Source organism: Homo sapiens, chromosome 4, assembly GCF_000001405.40.
Source record: "Homo sapiens chromosome 4, GRCh38.p14 Primary Assembly".
Classification (NCBI taxonomy): domain Eukaryota; kingdom Metazoa; phylum Chordata; class Mammalia; order Primates; family Hominidae; genus Homo; species Homo sapiens.
In genome coordinates, this window is record NC_000004.12 from 104,279,373 (window position 1) to 104,302,983 (window position 23,611).

The window sequence follows — 23,611 nt, forward strand, 5'->3', positions numbered from 1 at the left end:
GGGATTGCCCTGCCATTGACCTGCTATATTTTTCTGCCCTTCACCCATTTCGTGTGCTTTTTTCCATCATTTTCCAGCTTAGATTTCATGATCCATCATTAGAATTGCCCCTTTGCTTTTCACCCTATTCCCTTGGCACTTTCTTCAGTGCATATAGCTGCTAAAACCTCAAATCTAGATAAATTCAATTATCTGTTCATTCAGCATCTACAACCTGCAATGTAACTGAAGCAGAATTCAAAACCATACTAACTTACACCATAGCTTGTATTGTTTATCACAAACCTCAGGTGGTCTGTTAGTGCTGTCAAGTAACCCCTGCACACTTTTTTCCCCAGACCTCAATAACTATATCTACTCTATCCTCACTTCCCAAACTTTCAGTAATATTTTCTCTCATTTTTTTTATTTTTAGATGATACCCTTGTTTTTTATTTTGCTTTAAAAAGTAATACTTTCAAGAGGAATTCTAAACATTATCGCACAAATATCTACAAAGCTACCAGTCCGTGTGCTCATTTCACTTTTTCCGTGGATTTTGTTCCGTTGTTTTGCCAAAACCTTCGTTTACACAATGGATTGCATTGTCTTTGGTCACTAAAAGACAATTGTCCTCTTTTCTGTTTTCTGCATCTCATTTTTTTCCATTCAAACCAAATAATTGCCATCATGCCCTATTATACTCAATCTTTTTTAAAAAACCCAGGCACTTCATTGCTCTACAGCAACCTTTTTTTTTTTTCACTTTTTTTTTTAAAGGGAAACACTGAAAATATTTGTCAATACTTTGTGCCTCCACTTATTTTCATCCTTTGCCCTCCTGAATTCATTCCAGTCAGACTTGTCTTCACCTTTTCACTGAAACTCCACATGACAAGATCACCCATGGGCTTCACTTTTACCAATACATGGTCAATTCTCTGTCTGGATTTTATTCAACTTAGCAATGGCATTTGATTTTTTTATCACTTCCTTCTTTTTGAACACTTGCTTACCTTATTTTGCCAGGTTTCTACCCCATCTAAATGGATTCTACTTCTTTGTCTACTTTTTAACTAACTTCTAATATTGATGTTTCTCTGAATTCAATCTTTGGACAACTTCCTTTTTTATCTCTGCTTATTGCCTAGAGAATCTTATCTTACAATTCTTAAATTGATTTCTCCAGTTCAAATCCCCTATACTCCAGGCTCATATACTCTCAACATCTCAAAATTAATATTTCCAAAATTAGCGTTTTGATTGCCACTCACTGCTTGCACAAATTTATCTCCTCTCCCCATCTTTTCCTATTCAATAAATGGCAGCTCCATTCTTCTCATCTTTGGGTTATTATCTTAGAAGTCAGACTCTTCTCTTTTTATCTTAACCTCCAGTCAATCCATCCAAATCTTCCCACAACTTCCTTTAAAACATTTCCAGAATTAAATCTCTTTTCAACACTGTCACCATCATCTCTTGCCTTTTCTATGGCAATTACTTCCCAATTGGTTTCTGTATTGCATGTGGTTCTCTGATCAATTTTCTTTACAGATGCCCAGGTATTGTTTTTAACACTTAAATTAGATCTTTTCTGTCCTCTACTAAAAGTGCTTCAGGAATTCCCATAACCCATAGGAACTTCCAAAACCTCTGTGACTTCAACTCATCACTTTCCATCATAGCATCAGCTTTACTCCAGTACACTAAGCATATTCAACCTAGAGCCTTTGCAAAGGCCATTCTAAATGCAATTCCCCTTGGTGAGGATCATTCTGGGCCACGCTGAAATAATATTTTCCTAGGTCTGATAATCTAAGTTTATTGAAAGGAGTGGGTTTTTTAATATTTTTTTTCCACTACAGTAAACCGAACTGGGCTGGAACCACATGAAATAAATTATAGGATATATAAACAAAGTGTAATAGACAATTTTCTATTAAGTAAAAATTAAGTTGCACAAAAATACTCAATACACTACATGTTATATCTAGATAGACAAGTATATACATGGATGGAAATTTTCTGGAAAAATACACAGGAAAATGTTGTGACCATTTACCATTTAGTAATACAGCTATAAGTAAATTAATTAGAAGTAATTTTGAATGACAGTGTCAAAATCCAAGTCAAACTAAGGTAAATTAAAAGAGGAATATTGCTTCCATTAATACACAAATTTATCACTAGAAAGAGCAAGTGTGTATTAGCCCCAGTAAATCATAGAAACTTAAATAAATGGAGAATTTCCTCCTTCTGCCTCTTAAAAAATCTGGTTCTTCTTCATGTATTAACATCATTATATCAAATCCAGTTTATCCACAAAGCAGGGTAATACTAGCACCTAAAGATCTGGATTTACTTTCTTACAGTCTCATGACCACTGGCTAGTGTCATGTAAAATGCAATTATTGGGACCCATGTGCTCAGTTCCTGAGATAGTCATTATGATGAAGAAAGCTAAAGTAATATATTTGACTTTGTGCCATATGCCCACAAATATGGCCATTGAGGAGAGGTCTGTTACCAGAAGATGGATAATGATTATATATAAACTAAAGGTAGCTGAAAGAGAAAAATGTAACCCTAGATGCACTATTTTAGAGTTTCCCATATGTCCACATACTACCGCCATTCAAAAACAAAACAAAACAATAAAAGCAGCATATAAGAAGTAGAAACTGATAAATATTTCCCATCTAAATGGGTAGAATATGGATCCAACCCTCTTGTTACCCTTTTTTAAAAATAAATTTCAGTATAAAATGGCCAAAAGTGGATGACTTCCTTGGGTATTACTTTCTGTGACAAATTTATTGTTGTCACACAAAGGGTTGACACAACTAGTTGCCTCCCAATGTCTGTTTTCCTCCATTTCCCTAGGAAAAAAATCAAGGAGAGCTTATCCACATGGTTCTCTCCATCAAGTCCAAATGTGTTTCCTACTGATGTGGTGCCTTATGAATTAACAACACAAGTTAGGTGTTCTTCTAAAGGCATTCAAAATAAAAAAATGATAGCACAAGTTTGCAACCATAATAAAACTATTTTCCAGGAAATACGACAACGGGAGATATATAGCAAACACTGTGAAGGCCCCTACCCAGGGAATTCGAGAAATTTGTGTTCATTGGTTCATAATTCTGCTTTCTGCTAGGAACTCTTAAATTCACATTTTTCTTTAGCTCCTGGATTCTCTTCCCAAAAGTTTCTTCCCTTTCTATTATCACTATTTTAAAAGTGAGAGTTAGTGAATATCCTCTTTTTGGTGGATGCACAGCTTTCTAAGTTGAATTTCAGCTTGAGAGTGATCGAAAGTCCAAGGGCATTATTTTAGGTCTTAAATCCTCGAAGATATTTTATTGATAGCACATCTCAGGTTCTAATCTATTTTTCTTCCAGTCAGTTCCATGTGTCAATAACCCTTTCCAAAGAAGTTCTTTTTGAGACAACTGGTTTCAGATCTGTCTTTCTTATTATTTATTAATTTTTGCTTTCTTACCCTCATACCCCCCACCTCTTTCATGATAGCTACATTAAGGCTATCAGGCTTGAAAGAAAAGACTGTGCCCTTAATTGGGTTCTTGTTCTGCATTAATTAAGTTTATTGGGACTTTATTGCTCAAATGTTTTATCCCATACCTGGAAACATTTTCCAATTGATCAAACCTCTAAATTGAGGGATTCTGTGTCTTTCCATTTTTGTTTATGACTTGGTTGTTTCCTAATTATGTTTCTATATTATTAATCTGCCAAACACAACCAACAGTAGTCAACACACAAACAGCCTGCCGCCCCATTATATCAGGCCACAATATTACTCTTTGGCCTGGATCTAATATGGGTTGCCAATTTTTGAGATTCTAATTGGTTTCTCCAGTGCTTTAGCCAACTGCTACACCAACACCATATGAAGGATAAAAGTAAGGCATCACTTAACTTTAAGTTAGCAAGGATAGAATAAGCTATTCTGCAATAAGAAATAAACTTTAAAATCTTACTGTCTTGGTAGAAAAATATATTTTTTCTCTCTCACCTCAGAGTCTAATGTGAGTGAGAAGTCTTCTTTCATCTTATGGCTGTGCAATCTGGAATATGAAGCCTCCAAGGTCACCACAGCAGAGATGAGTCAAGCAAGACCTAGAAAAATGAAGGTGGTACATCAGGTTTTCACTTCCTCTGTGTAGAAATTATATTCTTTACTCTTGCTCACATTTCCTTGACACAACTAGTTAAATGATTCTTATACAGAAACATAGGATATTTGATGATTACTAAAGTTTATTTCATAGCTCTAATAATAATAAACTTTCTAGAAAAGTTCAGCTCCATTTCTTCCCATGTATTTGCCTATTCTATTTTACATTTTACTGGATCAATTCTGTTCTCACTCTTCTTATGAAAAAACATCCCTTGTCTAATCATAACTCCATACTCAGAAGTTTCTTTCTACAAGGGTGCTGAGAACATGGAATGAAACAACAAATTGCAACTGACTTCTCATTCTGCACCATCCACATTTTTCTCTAGAAATAGCAGTTATGACCAAAGCAGTCCTCTCTGGAATTCTGACTCTTTCTATTTCATTCCTATTGATTTGTGCACTGCTCTAAGTAAAATCTTCAAGGAGTCATCTGTGATGTCAGGAAAGATCATGGGATTTGATGTGAGAAAACTCCTAAACATGTAGCTCACTAGATCGTTAACACTGGACAAATCATTCAATTTCTCCTGACCTTAAAATCTTCTTCCTTAAAATGATACTTCCTTAAAATGAGATTTCAGTAATAGGTCTATTGTGGGTTTAAGAAAGATAATGTATATAAAAGAGCTATGTGTTCTGTAAAACATTGTGTGAAAGACTATTTTAAAAATAATCAATAGTATTAAACCTGGATAGTCTAGTTGGCAAATTAAAGACCAAATTAAATAATGACTTGCATACCCCCAAATTTCCAAAGTTGTATCAAGATACAATTTGCCAACCACAAAATTTACCCTTTTACCTGTACATTTCAGTCATTTTGTTTTTAGTATATTCATAAAGTTGTGCAACCATCCCTAATGTCTAATTTTAGAGCATTTTAATCTCCCCAAAAAGAAATTTCTTGCTCATTAGCAGTCATTCCCCATTCCCCCGGGCAACTACTAGTTTAACTTCTGTCTCCACAAATTTGCCTATTCTCAACAGCTTGTATAAATGGAATTATACAATGTGTGCTCTTTTGTGACTATCATCTTTCAGTGGGCCTCATGTTTTCAAGGTCCATGTGTTGGACCTTCTTAAGACTCTTAATCACCAGCAGGAGGTACCAGAAACAAGAGTAGATCACTGTATGAATTAGGGATAAAAATTTATCTTTGGGCTACAATACTTGTTCTGTGTCCTGAAAATCATTCCACCTATTACAAATTTTGTAGGAAACCATAGCTTCTTAAGTTTTTCTTCTTGTGGAATTGGGAATGAGACAACTAATTATATGTAACGAACTGCCGTATAATCTCCAGCATTTATATTCTAACATTTTTAGTCTGGACTTCATAAAAACAGTTCAATTTGTATTACTTATTGCAAGATATACAGTTATTGATCATTTACATTTGAATTTATTTTTATAATTTTAGAAAATTTAAGAAGGAAATGAATATTTTGCATTTTATAAATCAAAAAAATAATAATGAATAGCTACATAAGTAGGAGGTTGAAATGTGTAAAGAAACTAAAAACTCAAGGTTGTGATTTTCTAGTGCTTACAAAATAAAGCTGATTTTTTTGACATCTAGCTAACACCGTTTATTAATCTATGCATAAAGCAGATGATTTTTCTTTTGCCAAATTCTATTTTACCTGCCACCAAGAAGGGCGGAGACAGTGCCTGCGGGGTTCAGGCTGAAAACATATTGCCTAGTTGCTATGAAATACTTCTTTGTAATGAATTGATTCTTCTTTCAAAGAGTATCTGGAAATTCTAAATGGAATTCAAATTAATTTCTCTTTTTTTCTAATGTGACTCTCATTATTTAACTTGTCTCTAGCCACTCTTTTTTGAATGCCCACTTTTCTTAATTTAGTATATGATATGCAACAATTTAATATGTAATATACATTTTGAAGATTTAAAAATGTGAAATAATTTATTAGGGTTCCACATACTGTCATAGTATACAAAAATTTTAATTTTAATAAGATGTCATAATGCTGATTCTGAAACTGTGATATGTGCTATAATGGAGAAATGTTTGTCATTTGTCTTAATGACACTTTTGTACATTTAGATGGATACCCTCCCCTCCAAAATGCTAAGAAACTGTGAAGTAAATTTCAAATGTAACAAAACATGCACACAGAGCAAGAGTAACTGAATCCTTCCCTTTTTGTAATTATTGAAAAACTAGTTTAGCACATGTAAAGGCCAGATCCAAACTTGAACTAAATGTAACCTTTCCAACAGTAGAACAGTTTTTTCCCATCACTACATACAGGTATAGTCATGCTTCTTTGTTTCAGTAGGAGACAACTGGGAATAATTTGAAACACCATGAGTAAGGCAATTTCTGAGGTATTTATAATTTAAACCCAAACCTGTAAGTACTATAACTCCTATGGGAAAAGTCTGATCATTTGCAATTTTCTCCAAAATGAAACTCAGAATTACTCCAATTTAAATCATCTTAAGAAGTTATGGGGATTTTTTCTAACTTTTAAGAGTAATTTTGACATTTCAATATCTAAAATAATCTATTGTTGATAAAGAAAAGTGCTGATGAAGTTTTTCTTTATTTAACATAAATTCTCAAATTTTAAGTTCAACTTACTGGACCTGTCATGACACTTGACTATAAAGAGGTGAAAAGAAGATCTGAATGGACCTATATGAATTCATGTTATTCTTCTATCAACTGAATACTAAATGAAATCAGATAGCATTCATTGAATAACACATTGGTTATAAGTGTCTTTGAGAATTTGTAGAATCTTATTTCGTTAAGTTAGATTTGGAGGGATTTGTTTGTATGTAGCCACTAGTAAATACAGCAGTTAGAATATGGTCCAAATCTATAATCTCAGTACGTTGAGAGCTCGGTTTTGTGTTGCCTTTCCCTAATTATTCCATGAGGCACTGCAGAATATATATTTAATGTAGAGTCATCAAAAGTTCCTAAGTTTAAACACTCTGGAAAGATACTTTCAAGAGCATAGTTCAAAAAAACAAAACAAACAAAAACAAACAAAAAAACAGGTATGATCTCCTTTCCCACAAAGCAAGGCAAACAATATGATAAACTCATGCATACAGTACATACAAGAACTGAGGCAAAAATTCAAAGCAAAAAGATATTTTTTTTCTGGCTAAATACGTGATTATGCAGAAGACTTCTGGAAGATATAAAATATTGAGTAAGGGCTTAAATTTCTATGGCTACTCTTTCTGTGGGTGGAGCTGATGCATACACAGCTCTTAAGGCAAAGGCAGAGCACTGATAGATAAAAATACGAAGTATGTGTTAAAGAGAGCCATAAAGTCAGTCCATTAAAAAGAAGTAGTTGTACAAAGTAGTTTTAAATACTTAGAGTATATTTTACCAAGGAGGTAAAATATTTATATACTGGAAACTATAAAATTTTGAACAGAGCTATTAATAGTTTATAACAATGGTTTTGGGCAATTAATATTTTTAATATATGAAGCATTATAATCCAAAGAAATTGCTGAGTTATCATTCTTAGAAACCAGATGTCATATATATCTTTTTAAAAAATGTATGTATTTGTTTTAATGGACAAATAATAATTGCATATATTTGTAGGATACAATGTAATTTTTTATCTCTACATACACTGTAGAAAGATTCAATCAATCTTATTAATATATCCATCATCTCACCAATGTATCACTTTTTTGTAGTTAGATTGTGAATAATCTATTATTTTAGCAATTTTGAAATATATGATATATTATTATTAACCATGGTCACCATGCAGTGCAAAAGATCATGAAAATTTCTTCCTCCTATCTAAGATTTTATATCCTTTTATCTACATCTTCCCTTTCCACAACCCTTCCCCCCAATCTCAGGAATCACTTTTCTACTCTCCATTTGTAGGAGATTGACTTTTTAGATTCCGCGTGTGAGATCTTACAATATTTATCCTTCTGTGCCTAACTTATTTCACTTAGCGTAATATCCTCCAGTTTTATCCATGCTGTCACAAATGATAGAACTTCCTTTTTAAGGCTGTGGAGTATTCCATTGTGTGTGTGTGTGTGTGTGTGTGTGTGTGTATAACATTTTTAAATCTATTCATCTGTTTATAGGCACTTATTTTGCTCTCAAATCTTGGCTATTCTGAATAATGCTGAAATAAACATGGGAATGCAGATATTTCTTTGACATATCAATTTCAATTCCTTTGGATGTATATCCAGAAGTGGGATTGCTGAATCATACAGTGATTCTATTTTTAGTTCTTTGAGGTAATTCCATACTATTTTCCAAAATTGCTGCACTAATTTATATTCTCAGCAATAGTGTAAAAGAGTTCCTTTTTCTTCATATTCTGAGCAACACTTATTATTATTCAATTTTTTTATAATAGCCACTTTAATAGGAGTGAGGTGATATTGTATTGGGGTATAAATTGGCATTTCTCTGATTATTAGAGATGTTGATTATTTTTAATGTATCTGTTGGCCAATTATGTCTCTTCTTTTGAGAATCTCTGTTTAGATCTTTTACTCATTTTAGTTTGGTAATTTGTTTTTCATTTTCTATATATTTTGGATATTAGCCCCTTATCAGATGTATGGTTTGCACATACTTTCTCCCAATCTGTTGTCTCTTCAATCTATTGTTTTATTTGTTCTACAGAATGTTTTTACTTTAATGCAATTGCATTTGTCTATTTTTCCTTTAGTTGCCTGTGCTTTGGGATTTCTAGTCAAGAAACTATTGCCCAGTCCAATGTTATGGAGCTTGTCCCCTATGTTTTCTTTCAAACTGATTTTTTCAAGGCCAGCATTACCCTGGTATTAAAGCCAGACAAGGATGCTACAGGAAAAGAAAACTAACAAACCAGTAGCCCTGATGAGCAAAGATGAAAAAATCCTCAACAAAATATGGGTGAATTGAATTCAACACCACATTAAAAAGATTATTTATCATGATCAAGTTAGATTTATCCCAGGGATGCAAGAATGGTTCAACTTAAATAAGTCAATAAATGTGAGACATCATATCAACAATATAAAGGATAAAACTCACATGATCATCTCAAAAGATGCCTAAGAAGCATTAGACAACATGCAACATTTATTATTAAAACTTTCAAAAATATAAGTATAGAAGAAATGTACTTCAACACACTAAAGGCCATATATAACCAGCTCACAGCTAACAGCATATTTAATGGTGAAAACTTGAAAACTTTTTCTCTAAGATCAGGAACAAAGCAAGCATACCCACCCTAGCTACTTCTATTCAACATAGTACTGGAAGTTCTATCCAGAGCAATTAGGCAAGAAGAACAAATAAAAGGCATCCACATAGGATAGGCAGAAGTTAAATTGCCTCTGTTTGCTGATGATATAATCTTAGGTACAGAAAACCCTAAAGACTCCATACACACAAAAAAATTTTGAACTGATAAAGTCACAGGTTACACAATCAACTTACAGAAATCATTAGTCTTTCTAAACACTAACAGTGAATTATCTGAAAAAGAAATTAAGAAAATTTAATTTGTAAGAGTATAAAAACATTAAATACTTAATGTAAATTTTACCAAGGAGGTAAAATATTTATACACTGGAAACTGTGAAATATTGAGGAAAGAAACTGAATAAAAACCAAATAAATGGAAAGATATTCCATGTTTATGGATTTTAAAAATTAATATTGTTAAAATGTCTATACTAGCCAAAGTGATCTGCATAGTCAATGCAATTCCTTTAAAAATTTCATTGTCAAAATAGGAAAACAGTCCTAATTTTTTACTAAACTAGAAAAGAACATGAATAGTCAAAGCCATCTCGAGCAAAAATAACAAAGCTGGAGACATCACATTCTCTGATTTCAAAATATATGATGAAGCTATTGTAACCAAAAGGGTATGGTACGGCATAAAAAAAAAGACACAAAGACCCATGGAACAGGATAGAAAGTCTAGAAATAAAACCAAGGTTTTAGTCAATTGATTTTCAACAACGGCACCAAGAAAATACAATGGGAAAAGGACACTCACTTTAATAAATGGTGCTGCAAAAACTGGATACCCACATGCATAAAAATGAAAGTGGACCCTTTTTTCACACCATACATAAAGATCAACTCAAAATAGACAAAAGACATCAATGTAAGACCTGAAACTGTAAAATTCTCTATATATTTTACATATGTCTTCTTTATGCTTATGACATCTAAATGTAAACTTAGATATCTGACCTCTCTCTAGATAATAACTCAGTACTATCTATATGTGCTCAATAAACATTTATTGGAAATTCATGAGTAAATAAATAAATGACTGAATAATTAATAAATGTACTTGAGGTGAACAACAAGTTAAGGGCTGTGTTTCTGTGTAGGATGGGAATAGAAAAATTAACGTATAAAATTCTTCATTTGTGTTTCAGGAGAATTATTTTGTTGACACCTTACTATAATTATTATGTCATATTGATGTTTCCCTTTATAGCCTGATTTATTGACATGATTGCCAATAAATCACTTTCTACTCTTTGTGGTCTCTCAGTCTATTCTCAGCTGACTTTAGTTGGGTTCTTGTTCCCACCGCTTCACTGAAATTTTTGTCAAGATCCCTAATGACCTCTATGCAATGGTTTTATCTCATCTCATCAACTTCTTAGCAGTATTTGAGACCATATTTTTCTAGAAACACTCGGTGTCATGTAACTCTTATTGTCTTCTTATGTCCCTGACCACTCTTTCTAGGTACCTCACTTTCTTGTCTTGCCTTTTACTGTTAATTTTTGAAGTGTCCCATGGCTATGAACTGCATCTCCTTCTTTTCTCTTGAAAAATATTCTCCCTTCTTGTCTTAATCCAGACCTATGGCTTTTAAAACATCTGTATACTTATGATTCTCAAATTTACTTCCTAAACTTGCCCTTGCACTTTCTTCTCCACTTCTATAAAATATACCAAAATGTGTAATGTTAAAATGTATGCATTTTCCTGGATATTTATTTTTATTTCACTCCCCAAATGCAATCAATGAAGAAGTTATCTCAATTCTAATTCCAAATTATATCCCAAACACATCCACTTCTCTTTATGTGTTTTCTGAATATTCTTGTTCGACTTGTCCATTTTATACTTGAACTACAGTAGACAACTCATAACTGGCCTCCTTGCTCTTGCTGTTTTTGTACCAAGATCCACTGCCCATATAGTTAAGCACAAGGAGTTTCAAAACCATATGCAGATATTGCAATCCCCTTGCTTGTTAACAGTATTACTTTATTACTGCTGTAACAAATTACCACAAAATTAGTAGATTGAAGAAACACAAATTTATCTTACAGTACTGGATGAGAAGTTTAACCTAGGTCTCCTGAACCTAAGTTAAGCTGCCAGCAAAGCTTTGTTGTATACCAGAGGCTCTAAGGGACATCCTCGTTTCCTTCTCTTTTCTAGCTTCTAGTGACCAGCCATAGTCCTGGCTCATGGCCCTTTCTCCACCTTGAAATCCAGCAACATTACATCTCTCTGTGCCCTTCTTTCATACTCATATTTTCCATTGACCCTCTCTTTTTGTTTCCTCTTCATTTTTAAAGATGCTTGTGATTACATTGGGCCTACACAAATAATCCAGGGTGATCTATTTTGAGATTAGCAGGTTATAAACTTTAACTCCCCTTTGCAATGTAATGTTTCATATTTACAGGTTACAGGGATTAAGGTGTATACCTCTTTGGGGGCTCATTATTCTGCCTCAAATAGATCCCAGTTAAAATAAGATACAAAACTACTTACTCTGGCTTCTAAAACCGTTTTTGAACTAGAATGTTCCTACTACCCAACTACATCTCTTTTTACTCCCTCTCCTACCCAATATCTTCCAGCTGTCTTGTCTTTATTCCTTTTCTTCTGACAAAGCAAAATAAATCCACCACAGGCCCTTTGCACTAGCTGTTCTCTCTGGCTTTTAATGTCATATTCTGTATCTTCAAATAACTGGCTTCTTCTTATCACTTAAATATCTCCTGAAATTCTTCTTTTACAAGGTTGGTTTACTAAACCAAAACATCTAAAGAATTCACCCATATATTATCACTTCACCAAATATATGTTCTATACCAATCTCTGCTATTTTCCTTACTTATAAATGTATTGGTACATTTATTATCTTCTCTCTCTTTCTCACATACACATGCACACTCAAACACACACACCTAATAGAGGTGGTTCCTTTGTTTATTCAAATTTCATCATTGAAACCTCATTGCCTGAAATACATTCACAAACTCCATGAACTGACATGTAATGAATAATTTTGCACCCTACTTGGCTTCCCAAAATGTATTTATCTTTTCTTCTGTCTAAATTCCAGAAGCACTAAACCTCTTGTAATTTCTGGCACTTAACCTGCCATTTTTAGCCTATGTGGCATTATCTTTCCTCTCTTCCTAAAATAGCCACCCCTTTTACCTCTACCCCTTCACCTGGTCAACATCACTTTATTGTGAAACTTAATTTAGAGGTCACCTCCGACTAAGATTCATTCTCTCCTTGACTAAACTTTGATCAGGCTCTTCTGAGCTGTCTAGGTCTCAACCTTGGCATCTGTCTTTACTAGGCCTGCACCACCCAGTTTAGGCAAGAATCTTGCTAAGTTGGTTTAGAAAGAATCCCCAATGCTTGATATCCGATCACCTTCAATTACTGACCTGATACTTCCTCTTAGTAATTTTCCATACTCTGACTCCCATTCTGCTCATTGTCTATACATTCCTACTTGTGCCTGATGTATTTATGAATGAGTTAAGTTCTCTACCATAAATTTTTCCCCTTATTGCAATAGTTTTTAATGATAAAATTTATCTGCACTCCTTTAATTTCTGGGTGGCCCTGGTTTTGTTTAACACCCTTTTCATGAAGTCTCCTCTGACTCTCCTAGATTTTAAGATATGTTTCCTCTATGCCAATTCACTATTAGTGTTTTAGTCATTCCTTTTATAATTCATCAGAAATTTCTGATTATAGGTTTAACTCATGTAATAGCCTGCAAAAACATTCAGAACATAAATTCTATCTTACTTATTTTTGTGTCTCTGAAACCTAGACTATTGCCGGTACCTAGTAGATATTCAATAAGTATCTGCTGAATGAGTGACCATGGGCTTGTTCTTTGAGCCATGTTTCCTTCATTCTTCTCCAATGGATAATTGGCATGTATTGATGTCATTAGGAAAAAGGGTTGTATCAACCATTTTTATAGTTATCAATTTGCTTTTCAAATTGTTCTATTTCAACCCACATGTATAAATATATACCATTTAACACTCCTCATTGAAGTTACCTTCTGACTAAAACAGAACTTTAAGATAAGAATGTGAGGGAAGAGAAACAACTTAGTCAAGGAAGAGAACAGAACCTGTAATGGGTTTGTGTTCAAGCTAGCTTATCACTGAAGACTGAAACTCATTTCTACCAGAGAAATCTTGCTAGCCAAGATAAGTTACACCCACTGAAGGGGTGAGGGAGCTGGTCTCTCACTGTTTAAGAGCTTTAGGGAGAAGAAGGGCACTAATTTCCCAGCATTTCCATCCTACCTTATAGGTAACAAAGCAAGCTCCAGAAGCTAGGAAAAACCCTCAAACAAATAATGTGCAAAAGATAGCAGTTAAAAGTTAAAAGCAAAAGGCTAGTAATTGGTAAGGGTAATGGGGCAGCACCGGACACTGCAGGGTCTGCTTCAGTAGATTGCAATTATAACACCCTAGCCTCACCTTTTTTTTTTTTTTTTTTTTTTGATGTCCTGAGTTTTGCTTACCTTTACCTGCACCCTACATCAGTCATCAATAATTATAGCTACAAGTTCATCTTCATCATTGACCATATGTTTCTGCTTTTGAGGTAAATATTTCAGTATTTCATTTCTGAAAGTAATTTATCCTTCTGATATTATTGTTCATTTCTATGAGATACATCCCTAGCTTCATAGTGATCTGCAGTCCTTGATGTCCACTTTAACCAGCTGTCTTGCAGCTTTGATTCTATCACTATGACACTGGCAACTACGCAGCATCATTTCAGCTACTATTTATTGGCAGAAACCTCCTTCCTTTACCTTGTTGCTCTTTGATTTTATATACCTTCCAAATGCCCAATCATGGGTAATTTTAAACATATTTCTCAGAAACTATATCTTGCTGCTGAACGATGTGAAATAAAATCTCCTAACATTGCAAGTTGTGTCATTAGAGATTTATGATTTACTCATAACTGTGCCCTCCATACTATTCTGCAATCTTATTACATATATTTAATGATTAACATTTCCCATTTACCTCAAAATGTATTTGAAACATACATTTCCTTGAGCTCTAAATAATTCCTCTTTTCTCTCTTTTCCTCAGCTATTAAGCTTACTTTATTATTTTCTTTTTCTACATGAAAAGTCAAGACTATTGTCTGACTTTTTGGCTTCTTATTAACCTTTAACATATATCTTTACTTCTATCTTTACCTTCTCCTGACAGTTTCAGATGAAGTTGTGTTTCTTCTGCTGTCTTAGGACAACGTTGTTATAGCTATTTTCCCCATTTTCTGTTTTGAAAACTTTATCTATCATTTCCCCTAATTTTGTGAAATATTTGATTTATTCTTATGTATTGACTTATTCTAACCCTTTACACATGCACAGTACTTTTCTATTTTATAGAAACTCATAAATAAGCCAAGAAAAGAATTAAGCAAATTCTTTGACAATATTGCAAGTTATAATAACTCAGTTCTCTTTTTCTTTGTTTTAAAATACTGCACCCTCACCACCTTTACTTTCTTATCTCTTATTCAGTATCACCATTTGGTTTTTCCTTTTATTGTACTAAATTAAGGTGTTTCATGACTTCTTAATTCTAAGTTCATGAGTACTTTCATCAGATTAACTTAATATTTTGGTGGCATTTACCTTTGTTGCTGACTTCTTTACTCTTTCAAATATTTTCACCCTTGACTCTTATTAAATTATTTTATTCAAAATTGTTTCTTTCATTTTTGCCTATCCCTCAGACCTCTCTACATAGAATTTAGTTTCATTGTAGCTCTTTGGAAGTAGGTATTCTCCTTATATTCCTGGTACTTTTTTTTTTGTTTTTTTTTTGACAGTGTCTTGCTCTGTTACCCAGGCTGGAGTGCAGTGGTGTGATCTCCCCTCCCTGCAGATCTCCACTCACTGCAACCTCTGCCTCCCGGCTTCAAGCGATTCTCCTGCCTCAGCTTCCTGAGTAGCTGGGATTACAGGTGCCTGCCACCATGCCCTTCTAATTTTTGTATTTTTAGGAGAGACGAGGTTTCACCATGCTAGCCAGGCTGGTCTCAAACTCCTAACCTCAAGTGATCCACCTGACTTGGCCTCACAATGTGCTGGGATTACAGGCATGAGTCACCATGCCCAGCCATTCCTGGTACTTTTTACTCATGCATTTGGATTTTACTCATTGACTCCCTCAGTGCATATGACTATTATGCTACTGACTCCAAAATTTACAACTCCAGCACAGAGCCTATCAAACACTCAAGCTACCTTACAGAGAATTTAAACTTATTATATACAATATGAAGATTATAATTTTTTTTCTTTTGGACGATTTCTTTCCTAGTGAATGAATAACTTAATATCTCAGTTTATACATAAAGGTTCTTGGGGATGACATTTGACTTTTGGTCATCCACTATCTATTCCTTTTTTGGAATTAGTAATTAATTTTTCAATAAATTTTTACTTTATTGTAATGCCTCTACTATGTAAAGCTCTAACTATTGTACAGCTCCTATTATATGCTTCTAGATGCTGATGGTATAGATGAAAACAAGGTCTCTATTATCTGAGAACAGGCATTGGCAACTATGGCCTATGGGCCAAATTTGACCCACAATCTTTTTCTAATAAAATGTAGTAGAAACATAGTCACACTCATTTATTTATATATTGTCTATGTATGGTTTATACTATAATGGCAGAGTTTAGTTCTTATGACAGAGCCCATATGGCCCAAAGCCTAAAATACATATTATCTGTTCCCTTACTGAAGAGGATACAATTAGGTTGGGGTACAGATGTACCATTCCATGGAGGATATATTGGAGACTTGCCTGAGACTGTTTAAAGAAGAAAAGTGAAGAGGTTGTCACTAGAGGCCAAGTGGAAGATAAGGAGAACCTGAATTACTGCAGTGAGAATAGCACTGGACAGTGCATATAGTCTAGAAATATTTGCTAATTAAAATTTATTGGATTTTATCACTAATTGGTTATAGTGGTGAGGCTGGAAAAATTAGGAACTAAGCACATATCTCAAGTTTCTTATTTTGGTGATTAGGTGGAAAGTGATTCCAACAACTAAAAAGGTGAAAACAGCAAACATAGTGAGGTATACTACTACTACTAATATTTATTTGGAGGAGCTACTACAGCATCATTTATACAAGTTTTAGTCTTAAGGACACTGAGCAAAGCTCATACTAAAGGCATTGATGGAATCTCTGAGTATATAAGCTTTTTCATTGATAAAAACTTCTAGTTACTAAGTATATCAGTCATACTTACTTGCTTGATCATTTTGTCTTTCTGTATATGATAGATTTCAACTAATCGTGTGTGGTTGATAGAAATTTACTGCATAATTATAATCATGACAAGTAATGAGGATTCACAGGGGCAGTATGTTTGAGGAAGGAAGATAGACTTGATATAATAATACCTGGAGTACTCTTCAGGCTTTGACACTCACTGGAAACTGGGTCTTGGTCCCCTCACATGAGAAGAAGAATTATAGCAATAATATCAGTGGAGGCAATGATCATATGAAATACTATATGGAAAGTGCTTTGCAAATTATAAACTGCTATGAGAATGTAAATTATCATTATTGTAACCAAGTTAATTTACATAGACTATGACTAAAAGATATCAAAACTGTTGACTTTGATAACTCATTTGCACATGTATTAAAATATATATGTGCAAAACTTAAAAAAATAATTTTTCAACTTGCACTTCTAATAATTTGTACACATTTGTTTTCATTTCCCTGTGGTTCATTTATTCAAAAAGCTATTTATTTATTTTATTTTTTAACTTTTATTTTCAGTTCAGGGGTACATGTACAGGTTATATAGGTAAACCTGTGACATGGGGGTTTGTTGTACAGAATTTTTTGTCAGCCAGGCATTAAGTCTAGTACTCATCATTATTATTATTATTCTTGATCCTCTCCCACCTCCCATCCTCCAGCATCTGGTAGGCCCTAGTGTCTGCTTTTCCCCTCTATGTGTCCATGTGTTCTTATCATTTAGCTCCCACTTATAAGTGAGAACATGCAGTATTTGGTTTTCTGTTCCTGTTAGTTTGCTAAGGATTATGGCCTCCAGTTCCATCCATGTTCCTGCAAAGGACATGATATCATTCTTTTTATGGCTGCATAGTATTCCATGGTGTATACATACCACATTTAAATAGGCATTCAGATTGATGGGCATTTAGATTGATTCCTTGTCTTTGCTACTGTGCATGGTGCTTCATTGAACATATATGTGTATATGTCTTCATGACAGAATGATTTATATTCCTTTGGGTTGCTAGGTTAAATTATAATTCTGTTTTTAGCTCTTTGAGAAATCATCTCACTGCTTTCCACAGTGGTTGATCTAAATTACACTCCAACCAATAGTGTATAAGCTTTCCTTTTTCTCTGCAAACTCACCAGCATCTGTTATTTTTTCCTTTTTAATAGTAACCATTCTGACTTGTGTGAGATGGTATCTCATTGTGGTTTTTATTTCCATTTCTCTAATGATCAGTGGTGCTGAGATTTTTTGCATATGCTTGGCCACATGTATGCCTTCTTTTTTAAAAAGTATCTGTTCATGTTCTTTGCCCACTTGTTAATGGGGTGGGTTGTTTTTCCTTGTAAATTTATTTAAGTTTCTTATAGAGAGTGGATATTAGTCCTTTTTCAGATGCACTGTTTGCAAAAATTTTATCCCACTTTCTAAGTTGTCTATTTATAGTATCTTTTGCTGTATAGAAGTTCTTTAGCTTAATTAGATCTCATTTGTCAATTTTTCCTTTTGTTACAATTGCAAAAAGATATTTATTGAGCATCTATGAGTGCATTGTATTTGGTGAAATAAATACAGAAGTAAAGAAGACATTTTTAAAAAATTCCTTCCTCTTAGGGAGCTTACAGCCTACTTTGGTGAGAAATATAATAAATAAAATAAAATATATGCTATTTATATGATAAGTTATTATGAAGAAAATTAACCCATTGCCATCATAATTAAACATTTTGGAGGCTGGGGAGCCTTGGCAACTTTAAATAATGTAAAGAGGGTAACTCTCAAAGAGAAATGATGGTGGCACTTGTACAACTACTGGAAGAAGAAATCCAGATGGATAACAGAAGTAAGCTCCAAATATTTGAGGAGGACAATGATTGGAATATTTGAGAAATGTCAACTGAGCCACTATGGCTGGGCTGTGATGAGTAAGGATAAAAATAATAGGATATGAGGTCTTAGATATCATGTAAGCTACCTTAAGAACCATGGGTTTAGACTGAATGAGAATAGATATCACTGAAATTTTTTTGAGATGAAGAGCAACATCATCTTGTTTACACTTAACAGGAAAACTAGCTTTTGTGCAGAGCAGAGGGTAGGAAAGGGAGACACAAAACCAGTATAAAGAGCTGTTGGAGAAAGAGAAATAGAAATGAATGATGTTTTGAAACTTGGATGGCAATTGCAGTATTAAAAAACACTGGGTTCTGGGTATATACTTAAGGAAATAAAATGATTTTATGATAGATTAGAATACAAAAAAGAATGAGTTAGTCATGACTTCAGGTTTTAGGGTTATCTGTGTTTTCAGAAGAAGAGCCATACATCATTTTGGAAATTTAAATTTTAAGGTAATAATTAAATGTCCAAGTAATATATTAGGTGAGGTTGAGATGGAAATACAAATTTGGAAATTTTCATTGAATGAATGGAAACAGGAAGAGAATAGATACATACTAAAACATGTGGAAGGACTAAACCTTCTAGAGTTAGGAGGTTGAGAGATGTTAAGAGAAAAGAAAAGAAAATAGACAAGCATGGATCAATGAGGCAAAAAGAAAATCAAGAAAATGAGGTGTTCTGAATGCCAGTTTATGAAAGTATTTCTCGGAAGAGAAAGAGATCAATTCCATCAAATAATGGTGATAAATCAAAACGATTCAAGGATTAACAATTTTGCAAGTTAAAAGTCTTTTGTCACTTTGACAAGAACACTTTCAGATTCATGGTGGAAACAATAATCTGGTGGCAGTAGATTATGAGGGAAGACTTCATGACAAGAGAGCAATAAAACTCTATATTTGAGTTTTGTGGTAAAACAAAACTCAAGAAGTAAATGATCACGGAGAGACACTTAGAGAACAAGGTAGAATCAAGAAAAGGTTTTTTTTTTTTAATTAACATAGGAGAAGCAACATATGACTGAATTTATGCTAATGATAATTTTTTTGGTAGAAAGAGGAAAAGAGATGACGCAGGGACAAGCAGATAAAATTGTTGGAGTAATTACATAGTTCTGCAGGAATGGTACCCTGTGCATAGAGAGGTTTTGCCCTTTTCTAGCACTAAAGTTTATCCATATCATCTAGAGAGAAGGCAGAGTATGTAAGTTCAGATGGGAGTAAGTGATTAGATGTTGTGGAGGGAACCTCATGAAAATCCTCTTTATATTGCTGGAACTAAAAATAAAAAGAAGACATGGCAGCTTTGAGGGATGAGGCTAGGGAAAGAAAGCACTAAGTTTTTACTCAGGAGTATCAGAGAGTGAATGGACTGGAGGAAATATAATGGGTAATATTAGATCCATTTGAAAGCATTAGTAATGCATTTAAAATGAGATAAGGTAACAGAATGTCATGTTAATGTCTAAACGTATTCAATTCGACATGAATTGAACATGAATTGCTGCATCAAGTAGGCAGAGTTGGATTCAAGAAGAAGAATTGAGGTTGCCCAAATGAGCAGAAAATAATGGGTCTAAGATATTCATGGTTTATGCTTAAGAGTGATTATAATAGCTGTCTGTCTATGGAATTGAAGCTGTATAAGACAAAATGGGCAAATATGAAGGGGTAAAAGTTAAAGTACAGGTCATAGGAGAAAATGATTATGGGTCTACAAAGGCATGAAGAATTTCCAGTTTCAACTATAATATATAAAACAATTGAAAGTCATCATTCCTACCATTATGAGAAAACACTGGAAAAACATGAAATAAATGACTTTTGTTGGATCAATCAAAGAACTGATGTTGCAGAAAGAAACTACCACATCAAAATATTTAGAGACAGGTTCATAGCTAAACCACAGAAGAGATTTGCCTACCTAGACAGAAACCTTGGAGTCATAAACTTTTGCAATAAAACAACAGAAACTTCGAGGTAAGCCAAAAGACAAAAACACAGTCACAATAGAAAAATCACAAAAACAAAACTCAGATACAGCACAGATATTACAGTTATCAGAAACAATAAAAAATAACTTAATAAATAATGTCAAGTGATGTAATAGGAAGGTAAGCAACGTGGAAAAACAAAAGGATGATGTAAACAGAGAGATGAAAAGTCTAACAGTTAAAAGGAAGAGCTAGAAAACAAAACAAAAAAAGATAACACTATAACAGAAATGAAGAACACCTTCAGTGAGTTATTCAGTAAATTTGGCATAGCTAAGGAAAGATTCAGTGAGTATGATGATTTGTTAATAGACACACTGAAATTGAATGGTAAAGAGGAAAAGGAAGAAAAGAGAACACACACACACAAACACACACACACACACACACACACACACACACCCCCAGGACAGAAGATTAACAAACTATGAGACAATTTCAAAAGATATAATGTATTCATTATCGAATACCAGAAGGAAAAGAGAGAATGGAGTAGAAATATTTAAGGCAATGACAGCCAAGAACTTTTCAAAAAATGACAAACCAAAAACCCAAATTAAGAAAGGGATCATCAGGCTGGATAAATATCAACAAACAAACAAAAAACAAACCACACAAACATATGCACACCCCAAGGCATAGAAAATTCAAACTGTAGGAATCCAAAGACAAAGATAAAATCTTAAAGGAAGCCAGAGGAAAAGATAAAACCATACCTATAGAGGAAAAGGGATAAAAATTACAGCAGATTTATCCAAAGAAAACATGTGAGAAAAAAAACAGTTAAGTAATTTGTACAACTTAATTAAAAATAAGCCAATGAAAAAACGGTCAAAGGATATGAATAGACATTTTTTCAAAAGAAGACATACAAATGGCCAAAAGGTATATGAAAAAAATGCTCAGCATCAATAATCATCAGGGAAATGCAAAGCAAAACCACAACAAGATATCACCTCACATGTATTTCAATGGCTATTTTCAAAATGTCAAATGATAACAAGTGTTGGTGAAGGTGTGGAAAAAGGGAGCCCTTACTTGGTAGGAATGTAAATTGGCATAGCCATTATAGAAAACAGTATGAAGTTTCCTCAGAAAATTAAAAAGATAACTAGTATGTGATCAAGTAATTTCACTTCTGTTATATATCACAAAATAAATATAATTACTAACTCAAAGAGTTATCTGCATTATCATATTCATTGCAGCATCATTTATAATAGCCAACATATGACATATGGACACAAACTAAGTGCTAAGGAATGAATGGATAAAGAAAATGTAGTGTGTGTGTGTGTGTGTGTGTGTGTGTGATGTAATATAATTTTTCCTTAAATAGAAGAAAATCCTGATAATTGCAACAAGATGAATCAACCTGATGGACATTATGTTAAGTGAAATAAACCAGGCACATAAAGGCAGATACTGCATGATCTCACTTATATGTGAAATATTCAAAAGTCAAACTCATAGAATGAGAGAGTAGAAAATCATTAACAGGAGTAAGGGGGTGAAGAAAATAGTGAGATGCTGGCCATGTGGTACAAACTTACAGTTATAAGATAAATACGTTCTGAAGACCTAATGTATAGTATGGTAACTATAATTAATGATAATGTATACTTGAAATTTGCTAATAGAGTAGATCTTAAGTATTCTCACAATTATAAAAAAGGAAACTCTATGAGATGATAAATATGTTAATCAGCTTGATTTTGGTAATTATTCCACAATGTATATGTATATTACAACATCACATTGTGCATCTTAAATATATAAAATTATATTTGTCATTTATACCTCAATAAATCTGGGGAAAAACAGAATATGTTACCTTCTGAATAATATTTATGAGCTTAAGAATTAAAAATGAAGTGAAATATGTATTGTTGAAAGAAAAACCTACCAAGCCAGAATTCCATATCGACTGAAATTGTTCCTCAAAAGTAAAAGAGAAATTAAAATTTTCTCAGAGAAACAAAAACTGAGGAAATTTATCAACAGCAGACTTGCTCCGCAAAAAAAGATAAAAAAGTTTTTTTAACAGAAAATAAGAATTTTTAATGTCATGATAAAAATATTAAAGGTAATAGAGAAAAATTTAAAATATTTTCTAAAGAAAGAAGATAATTAATATGCACCAAAAACAGGACTAAAGAATGGACTAGTATTCAGGATGGAATAAATGAAGGTAAAACAAAATATTTTATAGTGTTGTTTTAAAATAGATTAGCTAAAATATATGGAATATATAAATTATAACCATTAAAATATTTATAAAATAAGTATAATTGATAAACTAAAAGATAATATAAAGTGGGATTATATAAAAGGTTTCATTAAATTTGGAGAAAGCATGAAAATAAATAAATAAGTAAAACCTCTAGTAATGAATAGAAAACATAAACATTGTTAACATTGCTTCATACATATCAATAATCCCTTTAAATATGAATTGTCTAAAAATATCAATAAAATAACAAAGATTGTCAGAGTGGATTAAAAAACAAGACTCAACTATAGTATGCTGTTTACCACAACCCCACTTTTAACATACAGACTCAGGTAGACTAAAAGTAAAGGGCTGGAGAAAGATATAGCAAGTTGAAACTAATTTTTTAAATGCTTGAATAGCGTGAACCCTGAAAGAGACAGTCCCTCAATCCCTCAAGAGGTATTCTGAGTGGCTAACTGGGCCTAAAATCAAATGACAGGCAAATGACCATTTGTTGACAAGAGGTTACACACATGCTCTGAGTTCCTAGAGAACCCACATGCCTCCTTATCTTTGGGACTTTCTTAGCTAGCTGTTTCTATTTATGCCACCTGAACCAACCAATAAGCTACGACCTACATTGACTAATCAGAATTTGGCAAACATCAACAAATCAGAGCTCAAAACTATCAACCAATCAGAACTAAGCAA

General features: G+C 33.3%; 1 long non-coding RNA gene across 1 annotated transcript in view; it reads right to left on the reverse strand.

Moving 5' to 3' along the window:
- Positions 1-730: 730 nt before the first annotated feature.
- LOC105377350 (uncharacterized) overlaps positions 731-23,611 on the reverse strand; it is a 114,309-nt gene continuing 91,428 nt past the window's right edge. Inside the window, exon 3 of the long non-coding RNA XR_939033.3 lies at positions 731-4,119. This is a non-coding gene — a long non-coding RNA (uncharacterized LOC105377350). The remainder of the gene's footprint in view (positions 4,120-23,611) is intronic.